Source organism: Homo sapiens, chromosome 18 (assembly GCF_000001405.40).
Source record: "Homo sapiens chromosome 18, GRCh38.p14 Primary Assembly".
Lineage (NCBI taxonomy): Eukaryota > Metazoa > Chordata > Mammalia > Primates > Hominidae > Homo > Homo sapiens.
The window spans coordinates 54200097-54222231 of NC_000018.10; the positions used below are offsets into that span (position 1 = coordinate 54200097).

At 40.2% G+C, this 22135-nt stretch overlaps 1 protein-coding gene across 2 annotated transcripts in view, besides 3 other annotated features; it reads right to left on the minus strand.

Annotated features, from left to right (window-relative positions):
- The window catches only part of MBD2 (methyl-CpG binding domain protein 2), a 73064-nt gene that overhangs the window by 48491 nt on the left and 2438 nt on the right, over nt 1-22135 (minus strand). Inside the window, exons 2-3 of one of the 2 annotated variants that reach the window (NM_015832.6) lie at nt 4902-5061; nt 2575-3006 (exon numbers count right to left, since the gene is read on the minus strand). In NM_015832.6, coding sequence (NP_056647.1) covers nt 2800-3006; nt 4902-5061 — 367 coding nt within the window. In that variant the 3' untranslated portion in view covers nt 2575-2799. Of the gene's footprint in view, nt 1-2574; nt 3007-4901; nt 5062-22135 lie in introns of those variants that run through there. The other variant, NM_003927.5, reaches the window with a different exon arrangement.
- Nucleotides 8550-8750: a silencer, noted in NCBI's record as "peak3156 fragment used in MPRA reporter construct". NCBI's record gives its function as "represses an SCP1 promoter by STARR-seq MPRAs in K562 erythroleukemia cells {active_cell/tissue: K562}" and the evidence as "EXISTENCE:reporter gene assay evidence [ECO:0000049][PMID:32103011]".
- Nucleotides 9621-9670: an enhancer, noted in NCBI's record as "active region_13340". NCBI's record gives its function as "activates an Ori minimal core promoter by ATAC-STARR-seq in GM12878 lymphoblastoid cells {active_cell/tissue: GM12878}" and the evidence as "EXISTENCE:reporter gene assay evidence [ECO:0000049][PMID:35858748]".
- Nucleotides 9761-10100: an enhancer, noted in NCBI's record as "active region_13341". NCBI's record gives its function as "activates an Ori minimal core promoter by ATAC-STARR-seq in GM12878 lymphoblastoid cells {active_cell/tissue: GM12878}" and the evidence as "EXISTENCE:reporter gene assay evidence [ECO:0000049][PMID:35858748]".

Genomic DNA, 22135 nt, shown 5'->3' on the forward strand with positions numbered 1-22135 from the left:
AATAATGGCAGACTTAACACACAACTGATTCCATTCAAGAAAATATGATGTTCTTTATTTTCAAATGTATCCAATTTGGGTGAATAGAGAAATGTGACGAAAGAATTGAGCCTTTCCAAGATACCAGTAGTATTGTCAAGCAAAACTAAAAAATAATTTGTTCCATACCATATTCATATTGTAAGCAATTTGTAGAATATGTCATATGTCACATTAAATTAATGTTAGGGAACTTGAATTTTATTAGTTTTGTAGATTTAATTTATAAAACATTTGATGTTAAGACTAGAAACACAAATTCAGTATGTTTATACATCTAAAACACTAAAATAAACTTCTAGTGACAAACCAAGCTGCATGAAGTCCCCTAAAACATATCTTGCACTTAGAATCACTGTACTCTTCTTTATCCAATCCTAGAGTGTCTCCAATTCAATTTTAGTATCATCTTGCCTCTCCTCCCAGTTCCCTGCTAAAAATGTTGACAGTCACATCTGTGAAACCCTGCAACACCACCTCTTTGAAAAATCAAACATAAATCCCTAAACAATATTTAGCTTTTGAAGCAAAGGTTTGGTTTTTATTTGCATATTGAGGCGCAAAGCTTATTTGCATATTGAGAGGCAAAGCTCCGTGCTGTTCAATAGGATAGTGACTAGGTACATCTGGCTATTTAATTTTAAAGTAAAACTAAAAATTGAGGCCGAGCGCGGTGGCTCACGTCTGTAATCCCAGCACTTTGGGAGGCCGAGGCGGGCGGATCACGAGGTCAGGAGATCGAGACCATCCTGGCTAATGCTGTGAAACCCCATCTCTACTAAGAAATACAAAAAATTAGCTGGGCGTGGTGGCGGGGGCCTGTAGTCCCAGCTACTTGGGAGGCTGAGGCAGGAGAATGGCATGAACCCGGGAGGCAGAGCTTGCAGTGAGCCAAGATCACGCCACTGCACTCCAGCCTGGGCGACAGAGCGAGACCCCGTCTCAAAAAAAAAAAAAAAAATTGAGTTATTCAGTCAGACTAGCCACATGTCAAGCACTCAACAGCCACCTGTGGCTGAAAAGAGTCCCGTCATCACAGAATGTTCCCCTGGATATGCTGCTCTGTAACTTTTTCCCTTTAAGGTCTGAGAAACCTGCTCATGACTTCAAATATAAACTGTGCTGATGACTTCCAAATCTTTCTCTAGTCTTTTTCCATTAACCTAATGGAATATCTTCAGTAACCTTCTTGATATTTCAACGTCAGTTGAAGAGATGGAGGTGGTGGTTGGAAATAATTATGGCAGTCAAGAAAATCAATAAGGTATAATGTAATCAAGAATGGAATCGATTTTCAGGGTAAGGTTAAGATTGAGTTTGAGATATCTGAAATAGGTACTGCAAAAATAGTAGTAGAGATTAAAAATGATGCCCACTTCACCCTACCCACCCATCCTAAAATAATTAAAAACCACTGTGCAGAGTTCTTAAAAAGATATCTTTCTGGCCGGGCACGGTGGCTCACACCTGTAATCCCAGCACTTTGGGAGGCCGAGGAGGGCAGATCACGAGGTCAGGAGATCGAGACCATCCTGGCTAACACGGTGAAACTCCGTCTCTACTAAAAATACAAAGAAATTAGCCGGGCGTGGTGGCGGGTGCCTGTAGTCCCAGCTACTCGGGAGGCTGAGGCAGGAGAATGGCGTGAACCTGGGAGGCAAAGCTTGCAGTAAGCTGAGATGGCACCACTGCACTCCAGCCTGGGCGACAGAGCGAGACTCCATCTCAAAAAAAAAAAAAAAAGACATCTTTCCAATCACACCTAAAGATATTATTCATCACCAGTAATTCACCTCTGATATGGAAAACATGTTAAAATCATAGCTTGTAATTACTTAATGTAAATTATAATGTAGCCTGTTTCAAAGTTTATTTTGTCAATTAAAGCTCTAATTCTTTCAAGATAAGAGTTTAAAAACAAAACATGTTGGGCGTGGTGTCTCACGCCTGTAATCCCAGCACTTTGGGAGGCTGAGGTGGGTGGATCACCTGAGGTCAGGAGTTCGAGACCAGCCTGGCCAACATGACGAAACCCCAACTCTACTAAAAATACAAAAATTAGCTAGGCGTGGTGGTGGGTGCCTGTAATCCCAGCTACTCAGGAGGCTGAGGAAGAGACAATCGCTTGAACTTGGGAGGCCAACATCACCCCACTGCACTCCAGCCTGGGCGACAGAGCAAGACTCTGTCTCAAAACAAAACAAAACAAACACAATAATGTACTGAAGCCAGATTCACAACCACAAAGCAAAACATTACCTCAGATTTCTATTAATTACTTTAAAGCTCTTAGCTTTCTTTACACTGTACCATCATAAAAAAGACATAATATAGTTATTACTTAACTAGCCACAAATATATTTTCTGCTTTATAGAACTATCTAATATGTTGCTGGTGTTACTTTCCAAGAGAACTTATTTTTTAAAATGCAAAACTCCACTTTCTGACCATTTAAATAAAATCAGATGCAAAAAAAGACCATGCCTCCAAAAATTAAGGCAGAAAGCTTCAGAAAACAATGAAAATGAAAGGTATTTCCAAAATAATGTACGGTATAATTTATTTATTTAATAAACATTTATTACCACTATACACTTCTAGAATGAGGTGGATGGTAAATCAAATAAACATAAAGCAATATTAAGTACCTACCGTGTGCAAAAGCAAAAAAAGACATGGTCCCTGCCCTCATGGAGCTCACAGTCTAGCTGAAGCAGACAAACAAGTCACAAATACAATGGCAAAGCACCAGGGAAGCATTATGGAGGAAAGGATTGGTTCTGCCTGGAGTATGCAGGGCAGGCTTCCCAGAGATGGAGACAATGAAGCTGGGTCTTGGATGAGTAGGAGTTCACCAGATGAAGGGGAAGGGGGTAAGCACATTCCAAGCAGAGCAAACAGCGTATGAGCAAGCAGAGTCTTGAAAGCGCATGCCATGGTGCAGGACGATGAGTGTTCCAGCGCAGCTAGAGCAGAAAAGTGCACACAAACTGAAGAGATGAATTAGTGTTTGGTTTTTGATGAAACATAAGTGTCAGAAAATAAATCTGCACATTACACTTAACATAACTAAACTGTGGTTCTGGTAACAGTACAGTAATCTAAAAGTACTCTTCATTTCATAAATACTGAAGCCCCTTTTATAGGTACCCAGCACTGTGTTTTAAGATGGCAATTTTAGAAAAATACACCTGAATTTTCCTCTGTGCATTTAAGAAGCAAAGTAACCCCAGAATAAAGGTTTCCTGAAGCTGAAATCACAGTGATTTACACACACACAAGGTCCTAACTTTTGCTAACTTGGGCTCCCTCTACTGCTATTCTTACCTTTCTTAACATCTTCATAATGACCAACTCAAATCCACCCCATAGTTAAGCAATACAGAGGCAATTTAGCCTTCTCTTTCATTCTGCCTCTCTAAACAAAGGACCTGCCAATGTCCCTATGAAAACCAATGCGAGGTATGATATGAAGAAACAATGCATTTTGACCTCTGTATCAATTATCAGGAATTATATTACTGTAAACTGCACAAATTGAGTGAAGCCAGGTATGAAGCAGAGACCCCATGCCCCTCAGAAAATGTAACATGACAAGAGGCAAGAGAGCTCGGGTCAGAAAGTTTCCAATGCAGGCCACCAGGCAACACTGTTCACCAAGGTGGCTTGGTGCTCAGGAAGGGGGTGGCTTAGGGAACGAGCAGTGTGGAAAGCAAAGGAATTAACATAGGTCAAATTTACTTTGCTAGATGTTCTATATAAATTCCCATTTACTCCTTACAACAATGCTAAGGGAAAATTTTCTTACTTTAATTTTACCAATGAGAAACTGAAGGCCCTTGGAGCCTAAGAAAGTTTCTCATGACTGCATCAGCTAATAAGTAGCAGAGCCAGTTCACCAAGCCATGCCTTCCTGGGTCCAAAGCCCTTCTTATTCCACTACACTGCCACTGGGTTCCTAAAATGAACACACACTCCCAAGGGACTTATGGGGTTACATCAGTCACATCTTAAGAAAGAGAGCCCCTACTTCTCCCTCCACTATGTTCACTGTCAGTGTGAAGACAATGGTGGTGGCAATACCCATACACACAGATCCTTGAAGTTTAGAGGAAGAAAAACTAAGAAAAAATAGTCACATATGTTTAGTTGTCCCCAGGGAAAAAGCAGCTTTCTTTGTAAAGATATTGGGTCCTTTAACATAATTAAATTAGTACAGGCTTAAGTATCTCTCATCTGAAATGCCTGGGACCAGAAGAGTTTCAGATTTCAGATATTTTTCAGATTTGGAATGTTCAAACTGTATCATAATTCAAATGAGATTTGCTTAAATTGCTATACAATAAACTATCAACCAAACAGCTCGATAAAACTAAGCGCTAACGGAAAAATATCCAAACATAGAATTAGGATATTATTCAAAAAGTCATTATCCTCAACATCATCAAAGGTCAAAAAAACACTGCCCTTTCTCAAAATCTGAACCTGAAAATCAATACGTAATTATAAACTATGGGGTGAAGATACCTGACACATTAAAATTTTGCCACTTTTTGGTCAACAGGAACTATTTTGAGGGGAAAAAGAAAAAAGGAGACAATTAACACCAAAGAAACCTTTTGTAAACAGCCCCAGTGGGTCAGAAAGTATGATGTTCACTGACCTAGAGAGATACTGAAATGCTGTTTTCTACTGTGCACAATTTACTTATGCTCTCTCTTGCTGGGACAGGGTGGGCAGGGTATGGGGACATGCACGGGACATTTGGACAACCAAAATTCCAGTCACTTAATTATGATGTGAGATACTTTTTGAAGAGCTTTCGAAGTAGCATATACATGCGATAAGTAAATTAACCAACCTTATTTTGATTGAGAGGATCGTTTCGCAGTCTCTGTTTGTTCTTCTGTAATTTACTAGGCATCATCTTTCCAGTTCTGAAGTCAAAACTGCTGAGATCAACAGTATTTCCCAGGTACCTTGCCAACTGAGGCTTGCTTCTGAACTTCTTACCACTTGGACTAGAAGAAAGTAAGGTTAATTGAACAAAAGGCAACAATATTCTCCACATAAGCCTTTTCTTCATGTCTTCCCCTACCCTCAATTGATACCCCATTCTAATTTTACATATTTTTAAAGAAATGTTAAAGTTTTGCTAGGCGCGATGGCTCACGCCTATAATCCCAGCACTCTGGGAGGCAGAGGCAGGTGGATCACCTGAGGTTAGGAGATCAAGACCAGTCCGGCCAACATGGTGAAACCCCGTCTCTGCTAAAAAAAATAAAAAAATAAAAAATACAAAAAATTAGCCGGGCATGGTGGTGGGCGCCTGTAATCCCAGCTATTCAGGAAGCTGAGGCAGGAGAATCGCTTGAACTCAGGAGGTGGAGGTTGCAGTGAGCCAAGATCGCGTCACTGTACTCCAGCCTGGGCAACAAGAGCAAAACTCTATCTCAAAAAAAAAAAAAAAAAAAAAGTTAAAGTTTTACAGGGAACTCCGTAACTTCCCTGTAAGAAAAAATCAAGTGTCACCTAATATAATGCTCCCCTAGGTAGTCCACTGGAATACATAACATGTTGCCACAGCCTATCCCACTGGTCACTCAGCAACTACTGCGAGAACCTAAATCCAAACTTCATGCACAGTGTAACAGGCATACTAAAAATGTCTTCAATCTCACAAACTTCCTTTCCAAATTGATTTTGAAATGCTTTTTTTTTCCCTGCAAGTACTACATATACAACTACGCCAGCAATAATCAGAAAAAACTTGAGAACAAATTCTTCTCAAGTCAGCAACCCTTGTTTAAAACACACACATACACACACACACACACACACACACACAAATATGTGGAATCTATGTGATATCTGAGCTACCAATTTGGGCTCATAACACTCACAATAAAAAAATTCTTACATCTTGACAATATTTAAATGCTCTCTAATACTACTGAAATGAGAAAACTAGAGCAAATATTTGTGAACATGCTTGTACAATGCTGACCTGAGTTTTGTTAGCCAAACTCCTCCCTTAGGGAAGCATATGAAGAATAATTTACTTCTTGTAAGTAATACTGCCAAAGCTGGAAAGTTACAAAAGTGCCAGAATTATACGGAGGACTAGTCTTTCCTAAAAAATTTTTTTCCTGTGTGGCATTAATCTGTAAGAAAGTTTTTATAGGAATAATGCCCCAAAGTGTTACCTAATAAATTTTCTGAACTAAATAAATGTGCTAGAACAAAGTCAGTGTGATATGTCACAAGAAAATTGTGAGAATTGTAGAATACTTCTCAAAGAAGCCAATGTGTCACATTTAGAACTTAACCTTGCACCAAGTGACCACAATAAAAGAAAAATAACTCATAGGAAGATAAAAGGAAAAAGGCTGAAAAACCAAGCAATAAATATTCTCTTGGAACAAGAAAACTTCTATCTGGGTCAAATACACAGCAATACACCCCGGACTTGTCACAAACTCTTTGGTATTCTGTCCCACCACACTTCAAGATAACTGAAGATGCTATCAACATTCTTTTTCCACAACCACATGACTTAAGTATTCGTGAAACACAATTCAAGGTATAGAGTTCAGCAGGCAGATGAAAATAACAACCAGTAACAACAAGAACAATACAAGAAAAAACCAGAGGAAAGAGTACAGGATTCTACACAAGCAAAGCTCAACTCCAACTCTAACCTAGACTTCCAGAATACTCGGTATCACAAAATAAAATAGCAAGTCACTCGCAATATTGTCCGAAACTTGAACCATCTCTGCCCACCAGAGTTCCACCCCAAAACCTGATCTTCTATATTCCGCACCTGTGTCAGTGGCGCTGCTGTCCACTTAGTGCTTTATTCTCCAAGCTAGAAGGCCACATCACAATCTTTCAGCGCCCCCATGTCTCAGCCACACATCCAGTACCAAGTTCTAAATGTTCAAGCTCCTCAATGTTGACAAAAAAGCTTCACCTCCTTAATAAGTCATCGAAAGCTTTATATCTGTTATATAATTTTTCCCAGACTCTTTTCCCACCAGCTTTGGTAGCCTACATTCCAAACTCTAAATCACCAAAATATGCCATATACCTTTGAATCTTCCAGTCATGTCTTTCCAGATGGAAGGAGGAGCACAGCAACATCCTGCCTATCAAAAAGCTATTAAATCCTCCAAGCCCAGCTAAAATATCCTCCACCTCAACTAGGAAGTCTTCTGGGATTCTTCAATTCAAGTCAGAAATAATCTACTACCACTCGAAATTCTATTTTCATTACAATATTTCCTATATATTTCCTTGCTGAGTCAAACAACAATGCCACTCTTAAACTTCAAACACCATTATAGGCTAGCACTGAACAAGGTAACTTTCTGAGAGCAAAAAACGTTATCAGTTCAATACTAAAGGATGTAGTTTTCATTTGCAGACACAATGGGATAAATATTATTGTTTATTTAAAAGTTATATGGCAAAGAATTTTTAAAACTAAGCTAGAAAATATTTTCATGATTAATGTGTTTTACCACATAAGAAATAAAGTATTACTAATGACCTAAATTAATATGAAAAATTAGTAACATTACTCTGCCATTATGTCACTTATAAAATGCTGCAATAGCCAGGCGCAGTGGTTCATGCCTGTAATCCCAGCACTTTGGGAGGCCGAGGCGGGCAGATCACGAGGTCAGAAGATCGAGACCATCCTGGCTAACACGGTGAAACCCCGTCTCTACTAAAAATACAAAAAAATTAGCCGGGCGTGGTGGCGGGCGCCTGTAGTCCCAGCTACTCAGGAGGCTGAGGCAGGAGAATAACATGAACCCAGGAGGCGGAGCTTGCAGTGAGCTGAGATCGCACCACTGCACTCCAGCCTGGGCGACAGATCGAGAGTCTGTCTCAAAAAACAACAACAAAAAACAACAACAACAACAAAAAGCTGCAATAGCCATATGGTCCTTATTATCAGATATCAGATACTCAAGTTATTGGTAAACGACATTCTGATAAACTAGTTAACATACCACAAAAAAATGAAAACACAAAATCCACAAAATAAAAATGACAATTCTGTGGCCAGGCACGGTGGCTCATGCCTGTAATCCCAGCACTTTGGGAGGCCAAGGCAGGCAGATCACCTGAGTTCGGGAGTTTGCGACCAGCCTGACCAACATGGAGAAAACCCATCTCTACTAAAAATACAAAATTAGCCAGGCGTTGTGACGCATGCCTCTAACCCCAGCTACTCGGGAGGCTGAGGCAGGAGAATCGCTTGAACCCAGGAGACAGACGTTGCGGCAAGCCGAGATGGCGCCACTACACTCCAGCCTGGGCAACGAGCAAAACTCTGTCTCAATAAAATAAAATAAAATGACAATTCTCAATCAGCTGTCTCTCACATAGATCTCTTTTGTGCAATAAAAAACAGCTCTAGAGTAGACACCTTATTTCAACAAATTCATTTTCCAGAAGATGAAATACTCAGGCAGTAACTCTTACCAAAAAGATAAGCATACTGTTCTTAGCTTATGGCTTAGAGACAAATAGGAAGCTATTTATGAGGGAATCAATTGACAAACTTCACAAATTAAACCTGCAATAAGTAGTTCCTTATCTTAAAGTTGAAATGTCAGTTATCCACTGCAGCTGAAAACATAATAGAGCCTCACCACAATGTTCCTCTACAGAACAAAACTCATTAGAGACCAGTTCATTTTAGATCTCTCCCCCAAATCAAGATAATTTGAACTCAATTAAAAGGCTATACTCACGAAATGTGATCACTTATGTTTATCATCTAGATTAGCAGTTCATCAGCAGTTTAACACGGCTTCATATTATTTCTATTGTTTATTAATTTTAAAAATGAAATGGGGGGCCAGGCACGGTGGCTCACACCTGTAATCCCAGCACTTTGGGAGGCCAAGGAGGGCGGATTGCCCGAGCTCAGGAGTTTGAGACCAGCCTGGGCAACACGGTGAAACCCCATCTCTAATAAAATACAAAAAAATTAGCCCAGCGTGGCGGCGTGCGCCCGTAATCCCTGCTACTTGGGGAGGCTGAGGCAGTAGAATTGCTTGAACCTGGGAGGCGGAGGTTGCAGTGAGCTGAGATTGTGCCACTGCACTCCAGCCTGGGCAACAGAGTGAGACTCCATCTCCAAAAAAAAAAAAAAAAAAAAAAAGGAAGGTATTTATTATAAACAAAAAGGCTAGACATCCTTTACTAATAAACTAAGTTGGCAATGAAGGAAAAAAGGTAGAAGTTTTAACTATTAGCATATCCAAAAGAAAGCTGGAATATTCACTAGTAACCAGTAAATTCTTATTCATAATGAATAACCATTTCCTGTTTTACAGATGGAATTCTATGAAACATCTGTATTGGATAGCTACAAGTATCTATCATATATACTGCTGCCTTCAGAAAACAGTAGTACAAGCCATTTTCTTCTCCGTAACTGCTACAGTCTGTCTGTGGTGCTTTAAGGAAAGTCAACCTGGCTGCCCCAGGGGATTTTAGGCCAGAGACTTTACTCTTCAGGAGGTGAAAGCAAACATGGAGGAGGGCAAGGCCCAAGGGAATGATTAAGTAGGAATTCTGCCCATGAGATGAGATACAGACCATCTGTACAGTAGCAAACTGACCCTGGGAGAGGCAAACTGAGGAAATAAATGCTAGATGAACAAAAAGACTGTCACCTAAGTTCTAGTCTTACCCAAAGTGATTAAGTTTAATCACCTGTCTACCCTCAATAATGGCTGCTGTAGGTCCTGGTCTCAGAAACACCAAGACTTAAAGTGACTAAGCTTTTATTTTAAAAGCATCAATTTGTAACTTAGGGAAGTTCAAAAACTCTAGAAGACTGAGTGAAGGATATTAGTCATTTTCAGTTCTCTCTGCCCATTATGATTACTTCTAATCCCAGTAATGAAATACTATTTCACTTTCAACCACAAAAAAAAATTCCCTACCAACTGCCCCCTAGATATGCCATTCCTGAACCAACTGTGATCACACCTTTAACTTCTTCTACCCACTATTTAAATAAACTCTGAAAAAAGCCCTGAAGAAACATACTAATTAAATGAAAATCAAAACATGAATTGTATTTTTCCAGTTCACATAGGAACATTTCATCACTTAAAAATAAAAATAAAATAACAAAAAAAAAGTAATTGAAACCAGAAATACTCAGATTACGCTCACTTTAATTTAGTGGTACTCATATTTTGTCGCACTGTGAACTTACCTGTAATTACCATTACCTGAGCTAGACAACTATAATATGCCCTGCCAGTCTATGACATAAAATTACATCTCCAGAAGACCTGCTGCCTGCATGTGAAACTGTACTCTGAAATCACCGCTCTAATATAGCAGAAGATACCTTTTCTTGTTTCTTTGATAACATGGATAATCATAATGTTCAGTCAAACCATTATGAGGCCAGGGCTCTAAATAAACACAAGTCTATTTTCAAATCAATTTCTAACATGATGGGGGTAGCAGTCACCAGACTGGAGTAAGATGAAATGGCCTGTGAGTGACAAGGGGTGTCACAGATGGCAGATGGCTAGCTAGATAGCTAAACAGCATGTTCAGAGGCACATCACTTCCCATCAGTATCAGGAAATACTTTATGGGGAATAATAAAAATCTCCACACTAAAAATTCTGTAAGCTATAGCACTGGAAATGTTTGAGACTAAAAGAAACATCAACTTTCTATTTTTTTTTTTTTTTTTTTTTTTGAGACAGAGTCTCGCTCTGTCGCCCAGGCTGGAGTGCAGTGGCGGGATCTCGGCTCACTGCAAGCTCCGCCTCCCGGGTTCACGCCATTCTCCTGCCTCAGCCTCCCAAGTAGCTGGGACTACAGGCGCCCGCCACTACGCCCGGCTAATTTTTTGTATTTTTAGTAGAGACGGGGTTTCACCGTTTTAGCCGGGATGGTCTCGATCTCCTGACCTCGTGATCCGCCCGCCTCGGCCTCCCAAAGTGCTGGGATTACAGACGTGAGCCACCGCGCCCGGCCAACTTTCTATTTTTTAAAATCTCTTTAAATGTTAACACTTACTTCTCACTTACAACAGTAAGTATTCAACGAAACATTTCCCTAACTTTAAATAACAATTTTCTTCAGAAATCAAACTTCATCTGAGACTAAAAACATGAAATTAGAATTATTGTTTTGTACTTAGATACAAAACAATCAGAAACCCGCCAAATTAAAAGAATGTATATTATTGCTATACACACACACACACACACACACACACGCACACACGCAAGCACGCACGAGAAAAATCTACCTAAGTCAGCTCCCTGTACCTCCTTAACTCCTTTCCCCTTAATCTTTAAATGTAGGCCTTTCCTACAATGCACCATCCTCAGCACTCCTCTACAGCTTGTCCCTGATAGATTTTATCTGCTCTTATTTTATTCATATCTCCCATGTCTGATCACTTCCTAAGTGATCACCTTTAAACACAGCCTTCCTTTCCATTGCCACTGCCCAAATCAAGTCTGCATCACCTCAGGTCTAAATCACTATGATAAGCTAACTTTGCTCGTCTCTTTGCATTCTACACTATCCACATAGCCCTTCCTAAAACACCACTTTGACAACAGCTCTGGCTTAACAGCTTTCAGTGGACTTTTACCCCATAAGCAAAAAAGCCAAACATCTTAGGCTTGCATTTTAGATCCTTTTTCCTATGGCCTCCTTTTTTTTTTTTGAGACAGAGTCTCGCACTGTAGCCCAGGCTGGAGTGCAATGGCACAATCTCAGCTCACTGCAACCTCCGTCTCCTGCCTTCAAGCGATTCTCCTGCCTCAGCCTCCCAAGTAGCTGGGATTACAGGCGCCTGCCACCAAACCCAGCTAATTTTTTTCTATTTTTAGTAGAGACGGGGTTTCACTATGTTGGTCCTATGGCCTCCTCTTAACCTTTCAACCCTACTTTCCACTCTTACCTAGTGACCTTTGCTCCAGCCATATTGGTTTAATCACTCTATTCTGAATAGTCTAAATGGCTTCTACAGTTCTTTGCAAGCACCATGTCTTCTACTTGGTCCATAATGCATGATGCTACCCCTAGTCTCCAAGAGCCCAGAAATACCAATCCACCTTATATACTACCTCTTCCACAAAGCCTTCACAGAACCCAGTAATAGGAATTTTCTTTCCTCTGAACCCATATAGTAATTATTGCCTATGTTAGGCAAATAATCATGAACTGCCTGTTGGCCTCATTCTAGCTTTGAAACACTGAGTTCTGCACTGGTAGAAATTTTCACAAGTTACATCTTCTCAAATAGCATATTGAATACTTATTTATGAATGAACTTACTTGACGTCAGATTTCCTTCAAATAATGAAGGTTGGGTCAGGAGTAGTAAATTGGGATGGGGATGAAATAAGATTGACTATGTGTTGACAAATTGTTTAAGCTGGGTAGTTCCCACTACTTTTGTATGTATGAATGAAAATTTCTCTATTTTGTTTAAACATTAAGTATGCTAGCTGAAGATTTCCCCCCAAAATAGGAAAGCTTTAAAAAAAAAATATCAAGACTCTGGGCAAGTCAATTTGAGCATTAAAGAATTTGCTGGTTGGGCAAAGTGGCTCACACCTGTAATTCCAGTACTTTGGGAAGCCGAGGCGGACAGATCACTTAAGCCATGAGTTCAAGACAAGCCTGGGCAAAAAAGGCGAAACTCAGTCTCTACAAAAAAAACACAAAAATTAGCCGAGCATGGTGGCACGTGCCTGTAGTCCCAGCTACTCAGGAGGCTGAGGTGAGAGGATTGCTTGAGCCTGGGAGGTTGAAGCTGCAGTGAGCCATGACCACATCACTGCACTCCAGCCTGGGCAACAGAGCAAGACCCTGTCTCAAAAAAAAAAAAATTCCTTGGCAGTGGGGATGGGTGGGGAAGGATTATGGGGGCGGGGGGGGGGATTATTTTTAAAGTATAAGGAAAAAATTTATTAGAGTAAATTACTATAGCTAATAGTATTATCTCTATTTCACGGATCCCTAAGCCCTAGCCCTGGCCACTGACCGTGGCCCGTTAAGAACCGGGAGGTACAGCAGGAGACGAGCATTACAGCCTGAGCTCTGCCTCGTGTCAGATCAGTGGCAGCTTTAGATTCTCATAGGAGCATGAACCCTACTGTGAACTGTACATGCGAGGGATCTAGGTTGCATGCTCCTTATGAGAATCTAACTAATGCCTGATGATCAGAGGTGGATCAGTTTCATCTCAAAACCATTCGGGATCCATGGAAAAACCGTCTTCCATGAAACCGGTCCCTGGTGCCGAAAAAGTTGGGGACCACTGCTCTGTATCATTTGTTTAAAAAATTAAAAACCAGGGTATGCCACTAAAATGCGAAAAAATGAATTTATGTAGAATTCTACCTAGTCTCATCCTTAAGGCATTTGCTTTCTGAGAAAGGAAAAAAGAAAAATACTGGTTATTTTGGTTGAATTGGGGACTAGACACTGCTACGACACTGTCAGAAATTAAGTATGTTTGGGAATTATTTCAAAATATAACTAGGGGGAACGGGGTGAATACAGATAAAGCAAGACTGGCCAGGAGCTGGTAACTGTTGAAACTGGATGACTATATAGGGATTCATTATACTTTTCCATCTATTTTTGCCTATGTCTGAACTTTTCCATAATTACAAGTGTGTGTATGTAGGTATATGTGTGTGTGTATACACATATATATCCTTACACATATATCTTACATATATACATACACACACATATTAATATTTACTTAGACAAATATGCCCAAAAACCAGACTGGAAGCTACTATGTCAAAATTAGCAGTGGTTCTCTTTTCTTTCTTTCTTTTTTTTTTTTTTTTTTAACAACAAACATTGCCTGATAAAACAGTAGTTCTCTTTGGGACTATAATAATGACTGTCATTACTTCACTATACTCTTCTATATTTTCCCAACTTTCCCACTGAGCAGGGGTTACTTTTATAACCCATACATACTATACATATATATATATTTTGTTTGTTTCTTTCTTTCTTTGTTTTGTTTTTTTTTTTAGAGACAGGGTCTCACTCTGTTGCCCAGGTTGCAGTGGCGTGGAGCAATTGTGGCTCACTACAGCCTTGAACTCCTCGACTGAAGGAATCCTCCCACCTCAGCCTCCAGAGTAGCTGGGAGTACAGGCTCAGGCCAACATGCCCAGCTAATTTTTAAAAATTTTTTGTAGGGACAGGAGTCTCACTATGTTAGCCAGGCTGGTCTCAAACTCCTGTCTTCAAGTGATCCTCCTGCTTCAGCCTCCCAAAGTGCTGGGATTACAGGTATGTGCCAGCATACCTGACCTATGCATAATATTTTTTTAAAACTCTGAGGAACCTTTATAACCTAAGGTCTGCCCTAATCACATTTCAGAATACAACAAAATACAGTAAACCTTCACATAATTACCAAGCATGCGCTTCTATTTCTGTTGGCTAATTAAACGAAGAGAAAGGAGCTAACATTTTACTGATGCACTAACCACCTACACATGGCAAGCACATTTAATCTCAAAAAATTTCCACGAGGTAGAATTCTTTTAGAATTCTTTTTTTTTTTTTTTTAGACGGAGTCTCGCTCTGTCGCCGAGGCTGGAGTGCAGTGGTGCGATCTTGGCTCACTGCAAGCTCCACGTCCCGGGTTCACGCCATTCTCCTGCCTCAGCCTCCCTAGTAGCTGGGACGACAGGCGCCCGCCAACAGGCCCAGCTAATTTTTTGTATTTCTTAGTAGAGATGGGGTTTCACAGCATTAGCCAGGATGGTCTCGATCTCCTGACCTCGTGATCCACCCGCCTCAGCCTACCAAACTGCTGGGATTACAGGGGTGAGCCACCGCGCCCGGCCTCCACAAGGTAGAATTCTTACACTAGATTTATAGTTGAGGAAACAAAAGCTTACAAAAACTTATCCATCCAAGATTAACACAGTAAAGCAAGATACAAGCCCCGATCTTCTGACTCAAAAGTCTCCATTGTTTATTCTAAACCAGGACAACCAAAGTGTGGTCTGTGTGCAAACTTACTGGTCCTCAAGTAAGTCCACAAGTGTAGAGAAAGCATTTGGAAACTGTCATGGTAACTTGACAGGGTAAGTTTATGTGACTCAGGAATCTGGTACTAAGAAGTTGCAACATGTTTTTTGTATGTTCACTTTTACTTCATTTTTCTCTTCTTTTTTAATACAGACCACTCGAACAAACGCTTCACATTTACAGCAAAACAAAAAATAAATTAGTTAAAACTAGATAGAAACATAGCCTCCCAAGATGATACAAAAGCAATTTCTGAGGATAGATTTTTTTTTTTTTTTTTTTGAGATGGATCTCCCTCTGCTGCCAGGCTGGAGTGCAGTGGCGCGATCTCAGCTAGCTGCAATCTGCAGTCTCCAACTCCCTGGTTCAAGCAATTCTCCTGCCTCAGCCTCCCGAGTAGCTGGGATTACAGACACACATCACCACGCCCATCTAATTTTTGTATTTTTAGTAAAGAAGGGGTTTCACCATGTTGGTCAGGCTGGTCTCGACCTCCTGACCTCGTGATCCGCCTGCCTCGGCCTCCCAAAGTGCTGGGATTAAAGGTGTGAGCCACCAAGCCCGGCCTTTTTTTTTTTGTTTGTTTGTTTCTGAGACAGAGTTTCGCTCTTGTTGCCCAGGATGGAGTGCAATGGTGCAATCTCGGCTCACTGCAACCTCCACCTCCCAGGTTCAAGCGATTCTCCTGCCTCAGCCTCCTGAATACCTGGGATTACAGGCACCTGCCACCATGCCCGGCTAATTTTTTCTTGTATTTCTTAGTAGAGATGGAGTTTCACCATGTTGGTCAGGCTGGTCTTGAACTCCTGACCTCAGGTGATCCACCCACCTCGGCCTCCCAAAGTGCTGGGATTACAGGCGTGAGCCACCGCATCCAGCCCTTGAAGATAGATTTTTTTCAAGCAAAATATAAAAGAATTTTAATATTAAAAATGAAACCAAAAGTCCTATAAATCATTTTAGACCTAAAAGCCTAGGTAATATATATACATCAACACTACACACACACAAGTTTGAGGAAAAAAATTACATTTACTTCAGCTATTCAATATTTGTATACCTGATTTAGTGCAAGGCAGGATGCTGGTAACTGCAGCCCCTATAAGGGGAGTCAGGCCTATGTATACAGCCAGATTAACCATAACTTTTTGGATTAATAGAGAAATGTATTTACTGTTTGCTTCACTTAGCGAAGATTTATGAAAAACGTTCCATATTATACCAGGGACTATGCTGGATACTGAAGATTCAAAAATGAATCAGACACAGCTCCTGACACTGAGGAGGTTCAGAATCTCATGGGTAACAAAGACTTGCCAACTATTTCTTAAAGCAAATGTGATAAGAGTTAACAGAGTAATACTCAAATGCCATAGGAGTTTCCCATTTCTGCTAGGGGACTCTAGGAAAGGCTTTTTAAAAGAGATGAATGCCTGTTAAAAAGAATTTTAAGGACACGCATCCTTGCTTATCCATGCATTCTTCCAGTATAAAAATAACAAAGAAAAGAATACCAAGACACAGCATTCAAAAAAAAAAATCTTCAAAAGGGGATGATGGGCCAGGCGCGGTGGCTCATGCCTGTAATCTCAGCATTCACATGCCTGTAATCTTAGCATTATGGGAGGCCAAAGCAGGTGGATCACCTGAGTTCAGGAGTTCGAGACCAGCCTGGCCAACATGGTGAAATCTCGTCTACTAAAAATACAAAATTAGCTGGGCATGGTTGACACATGCCTGTAATCCCGGCTACTTGGGAAGCTGAGGCAGGATAATCACTTGAATCCAGGAGGCAGAGGGTGCAGTGAGTGGAGATCACGCCACTGCACTCCAGCCTGGGCAACAAGAGCGAAACTCCGTCTCAAAACAAAACAAAACAAAATAAAAAATTAAAGGGGACGATGTTCTTCTTCCTCACATCTGTAAAACACTCGATTACTCCTGAGAAATGCGAAGTGTTCAATTTTAAAATCTAATTTTAAATTTTATTATTTATATTCACATAGAGTTTATGTACATCAAGTTCCCAAAATGAGTTTGAATTTGTATTATACTGAGAACAAAGACAGGATGAAATCATGAAATCTGCAGATATTATTCAAACTTCATTATATTCCATATTTTTATTCTCCTTCCTTGGGAAGTTTTAGTTTTTAGAAGTTCTGATAAAATTAAGTAAAACACCATATTACAAAATTTTCCTAATCGTTTCTCACTGGAAATGGCAAAGAACAATGAAAGATCAATACATAAGAGCTGTAAGAGGCATTAAGATTCCCAGCCAAACACTAAATCCAGGAAGAGTTTATGGTTTATTTCTAATTCATCATGCATGTCTTGAGAAGATTTTAAACATGAGTAAAAAAGTTATGAATTTCTATGAGCCCCACTATAGAATCTAAAAACCAAAATCAAAAAAAGCATCACTTCCTTTAACATTCCATTAAAACTAAATTATGAAAAAAATGATGATATCTCATTAACTAAATTTTTAAAAGCAATGTGAAAAAATCTACCAATTTCTGTTGGAGATTATTTTTAGAATGTATATGCATCAGTTCCTTTGAGCTATGTATTTCCTCTAATACAAGTATTGTGGGTGTTGCGGCAGGTGAGACTTTGCATGTCAGATTCTAAAAATCAGATGTAGGACAGACAGCAATGCTGCACCCTAACAAAAATTCCTTTGGTATCTCACAAAAAGATGTGATAGTACAGCTAAGGAAGATATATCAGAGCACAATCTCCACCACACCTATGTCTTTCATTTCTGGGTGCAGGCTTCAATCACACAACATCAAGAGAAAAGACTTAAAGCAAGCCAAACTTTCTATTATGCAATTAAGCTCTTAATAAATATTGGATTTCTTTCCTTTCTCTAACTAGAGATTTTTAAAAAATTGATCTGTACGGTATATTTCAACTGTATCTCAAACCTCAATATCTGAGAAATAACAGGGTTAATCCTAGGTTGAACATTTATCAAAGAGAGAATATTTCTGAACAAATTGATCACTTTTATTACTCAGAACAATACTGCTTTAATTATGTGGATTTATTACATTTTTTTCCCCTCCAGGATTATTTAAAGCTGGAGGGTTATCCTTTGGTACAATAGCTTCACTACCAAATAGGATTTAAAATTTACCCTTTGACATCTTCAGGATACAAGTGTAATAGTAAATAATCACATTATCTCAATGGCACACTAAGCCCAATAAAGTAGATTAGACATGGGGTGTTGCAATATTTGAGAATACAAGTAGGGATCTCTATGCCATGCAACAGAGCATGGTGGTTAGGAGTTCTGAGGTTAAACCACCAGCTTCAGGTTGTATCTTTGCACTTACTAGCTGTACAACCCCAAGCACACTACTTCCCTTTGCTAACTCCCAATCTGTAAAATGGAGATAACTGTACCTGTTTCATAGGGTTATAAGAATCCAGTATGATAGGCTGGGCGCGGTGGCTCACGCCTGTAATCCTAGCATTTTGGGAGGCTGAGGCAGGTGGATCTCAAGGTCAGGAGTTCAAGACCAGCCTGACCAACATGGTGAAACTCCGTCTCTAACTAAAAATACCAAAATTAGCCAGGCGTGGTGGTGTGCACCTGTAATCCCAGCTACTCAGGAGTCTGAGGTAGGACAATCACTTGAACCCAGGAGGCGGAGGTTGCAGTGAGCTGAGATTGCACCACTGCACTCCAGCCTAGGTGACAAAGTAAGACTCCGTCTCAAAAAAAAAAAAAAAAATCCAGTATGATAGCTCATGTAAAGCATTTAGCAAAATACTACTAATAGGTGCCAAAATTCTGAGAGCTGTAACACAAATACACATAGAATTAAGGCACAGAAGACCCTACACTACTATACCCGATGTTACACAGTCGATGAAATTCAAATGCCGATTTCTCACTTGTGTCTGTGCACTATGAGCAACCTATTTACCATTTTCACTGTATCTCTAATATTCAAAATTCCAGAAAAAGGCTTTCCACAGTACCTTCACACTGATGATGAAAATTAGAAACTACAAAATGCATAGCCTTATTAATAAAATACCTCAACCAATTTTATCCCAACACACCACCACAAGAACAGAAATAAAGCAAAAACTACAAAGTCATTTTAAGGCTTGTTTTACAAAACGTTAGGTGGAATATCAATTGGTAAACCCTTATTTAGCATCTGAGTGTTTGGCATTGTGTCGAGGGGAAAGACAGCTATGTGAGAAAGCCACAAGTTCTAAGTAAATGAATATGAGAGTTATACAAGGGACACCAAGTTTAACTACATAGGAATTATGAGAAAGAAGACAATATCAGAAAAGGCTTTTTATTGGAATCCAAGAAGACTTTAACACAAATATGTAAGAACTATGACAATAGTCACATTGCTTACCTGGGTCCACTCAGTCAGTTTTCTAGATACTACATGGAGGGTCCATTTATTTTTTGTTTGTTTGTTTTTAAAGGCAAACCAAGGTGAGGGGAGGAGCATGGTTGAACCTCAGTGATTCAGAATTCATGCTCTTGAAGCATCATACTAGTCTTTAGCAACAAATGGCACACACACACACACATATGTATATTTGAGACTGTGTCTCGCTCTGTCGCCCAGGCTGGAGTGCAGTGGCGTGATCTCAGCTCACTGCAAGCTCCGCCTCCTGGGTTCACGCCATTCTCCTGCCTCAGCCTCCCGAGTAGCTGGGACTACAGGCATCTGCCACCATGCCTGGCTAATTTTTTTGTATTTTTAGTAGAAACAGGGTTTCATCATGTTAGCCAGAATGGTCTCGATCTCCTGACCTCGTGATCCACCCGCCTCAGCCTCCCAAAGTGCTGGGATTACAGGCGTGAGCCACAGCGACCGACCTAGACTTGATTTTTTTAAAAAAGGCAAGAGGGGGCTACTAAAAGACTATGTGAGGAAGAAAATATCTCAAAAATATCAATCAGCAAGTGTTATGCAAGCAACTAGAAATGACAGGAGTCAAGTAGACAAGTTAGAAAGTTATTGTTCAAATGATGGCAACAAACTTTTTCAGAAAATATACCAATGGATCCAATCAAACCACACCCTTTTAAACAAACACACTAGATGATAATATATGAACCACCACAACACTATCAGTAATCCTGACAGAAGGCATAATTATATTGCGTTAACTGGCAACTAGGGGCACGCCTTCCTATTAGAACTTGGCAGTTTCAAAACAGCACCCAAAAAACATACTACCAAAATTTGAGGCTTTCTCGATGAGCTTAATTTCAGTCCAATTAATAAGTGCCTGCCACACCCTACATTAACAGGCACAGATTTGTTTAAATTAATCTCCCCAGGGGCAGGCTAATTCAAGGGTTAGTATTATTAGAATCTGTGTGAACAATTGGGTGCAGGTGTTCACATTACCAACAGGAGAATTAACTCTTAACCCACTTTTAGCAGATAGTGGGTGTTTGGTGAACTAATGGAATTTTTAAATATGGGGACACTAATATGTAAAGCAGTGACACTGTAAGCTGAAAAATAATTTGTCTTCCTTTACAATAAGTGACTGCCATCATTCATCACAGAAAGCTACAGTCACAAGTCAAATTAACTACTGTATCACAATTATCATATTACGCTACATACACCTTACTGACTCAGAATGTAACGTTTCAGAAGAAAAACAAGACTGGTTGTTAACAATCCTGCAAAGTAACGGAACCTCTGTAGACAGTTAATAAACAGCAGACAATGCTCCTTTTGGCCCTGAATGAAACAGGTTTGGCACAAATCTGTTCAATGTGTCCTTCCCATTTTACATAAACAAGTAAAAGGCAAATCATGCTGCAATGTCCCAGAAAAAGACTTTCATTTTAGAGAGCAATTACCACTATAGTGGCTTACGACTTGCCTTAAGATGAATTTGTTTAGAAAGTTTGTTTTAAATTGATCATATCGGGGCCGGGCGCGATGGCTCACACCTGTAATCCCAGCACTTTGGGAGGCCAAGGCGGGTGGATCACGAGGTCAGGAGATCGAGACCATCCTGGCTAACACGGTAAAACCCTGTCTCTACTAAAAGATACAAAAAATTAGCTGGGCGTGGTGGTGGGCACCTGTAGTCCCAGCTACTCGGGAGGCTGAGGCAGGAGAATGGCGTGAACCCAGGAGGCAGGGCTTGTAGTGAGCCAAGATCACACCACTGCACTCCAGCCTGGGCAACAGAGCAAGACTCCGTCTCAAAAAAAAAAAAAAATTATTAAGTTTGTATTTAAAAATTTAATGGCCAGGCCTGGTGGCTCACACCTGTAATCCCAGCACTGGCCGAGGCAGGTGGATCACAAGGTCAGGAGTTCGACACCAGCCTGGCCAATATGGTGAAACCCCATCTCTACTAAAAATACAAAAATTAGCCGGGCATGGTGGCAGGCACCTGTAGTCCCAGCTACTTGGGAGGCTGAAGAATCACTTGAACCCGAGAGGCGGAGGATGCACTGAGCCGAGATCGCACCACTGCACTCCAGCCTGGGCGACAGAGCTAGACTCCATCTCAAAAAAAATAAAATAAATTTAACATCAGAAAATTTACACAACATCCAAGAAAATGTTAAGTGGCCACAAATCCAAATGAGCACTACAACAATCTGACTTCTTGAAATAACTTTTCCAACTACAAGGAAAACCAACAAACAAAAAGCTCTGCAATACCCAAAGTCAGTCTGAACAAAAACATCATCCCAAAACCAAACAAACCATATCCCAGGAGAACTGCCACAGAGTAAAATTCAAAGTTTAAGATGTTCTACTGAGAATAGCCTAGTCATCTATTCCTCAAGGAGTTCAATCACAGATACAGAATAATCTTGTCAAATATAATTGCCTACAAGACATCAGCACATAGTTCACAGAAGGTTATGCAGACAGCCTGCTTAGAAAGAAAACAGAATGCTCTGTTAATGAAAGAATACTAGAAAACGAACAATTGTGAACGGCACTAAATGAAACTAATGAACTT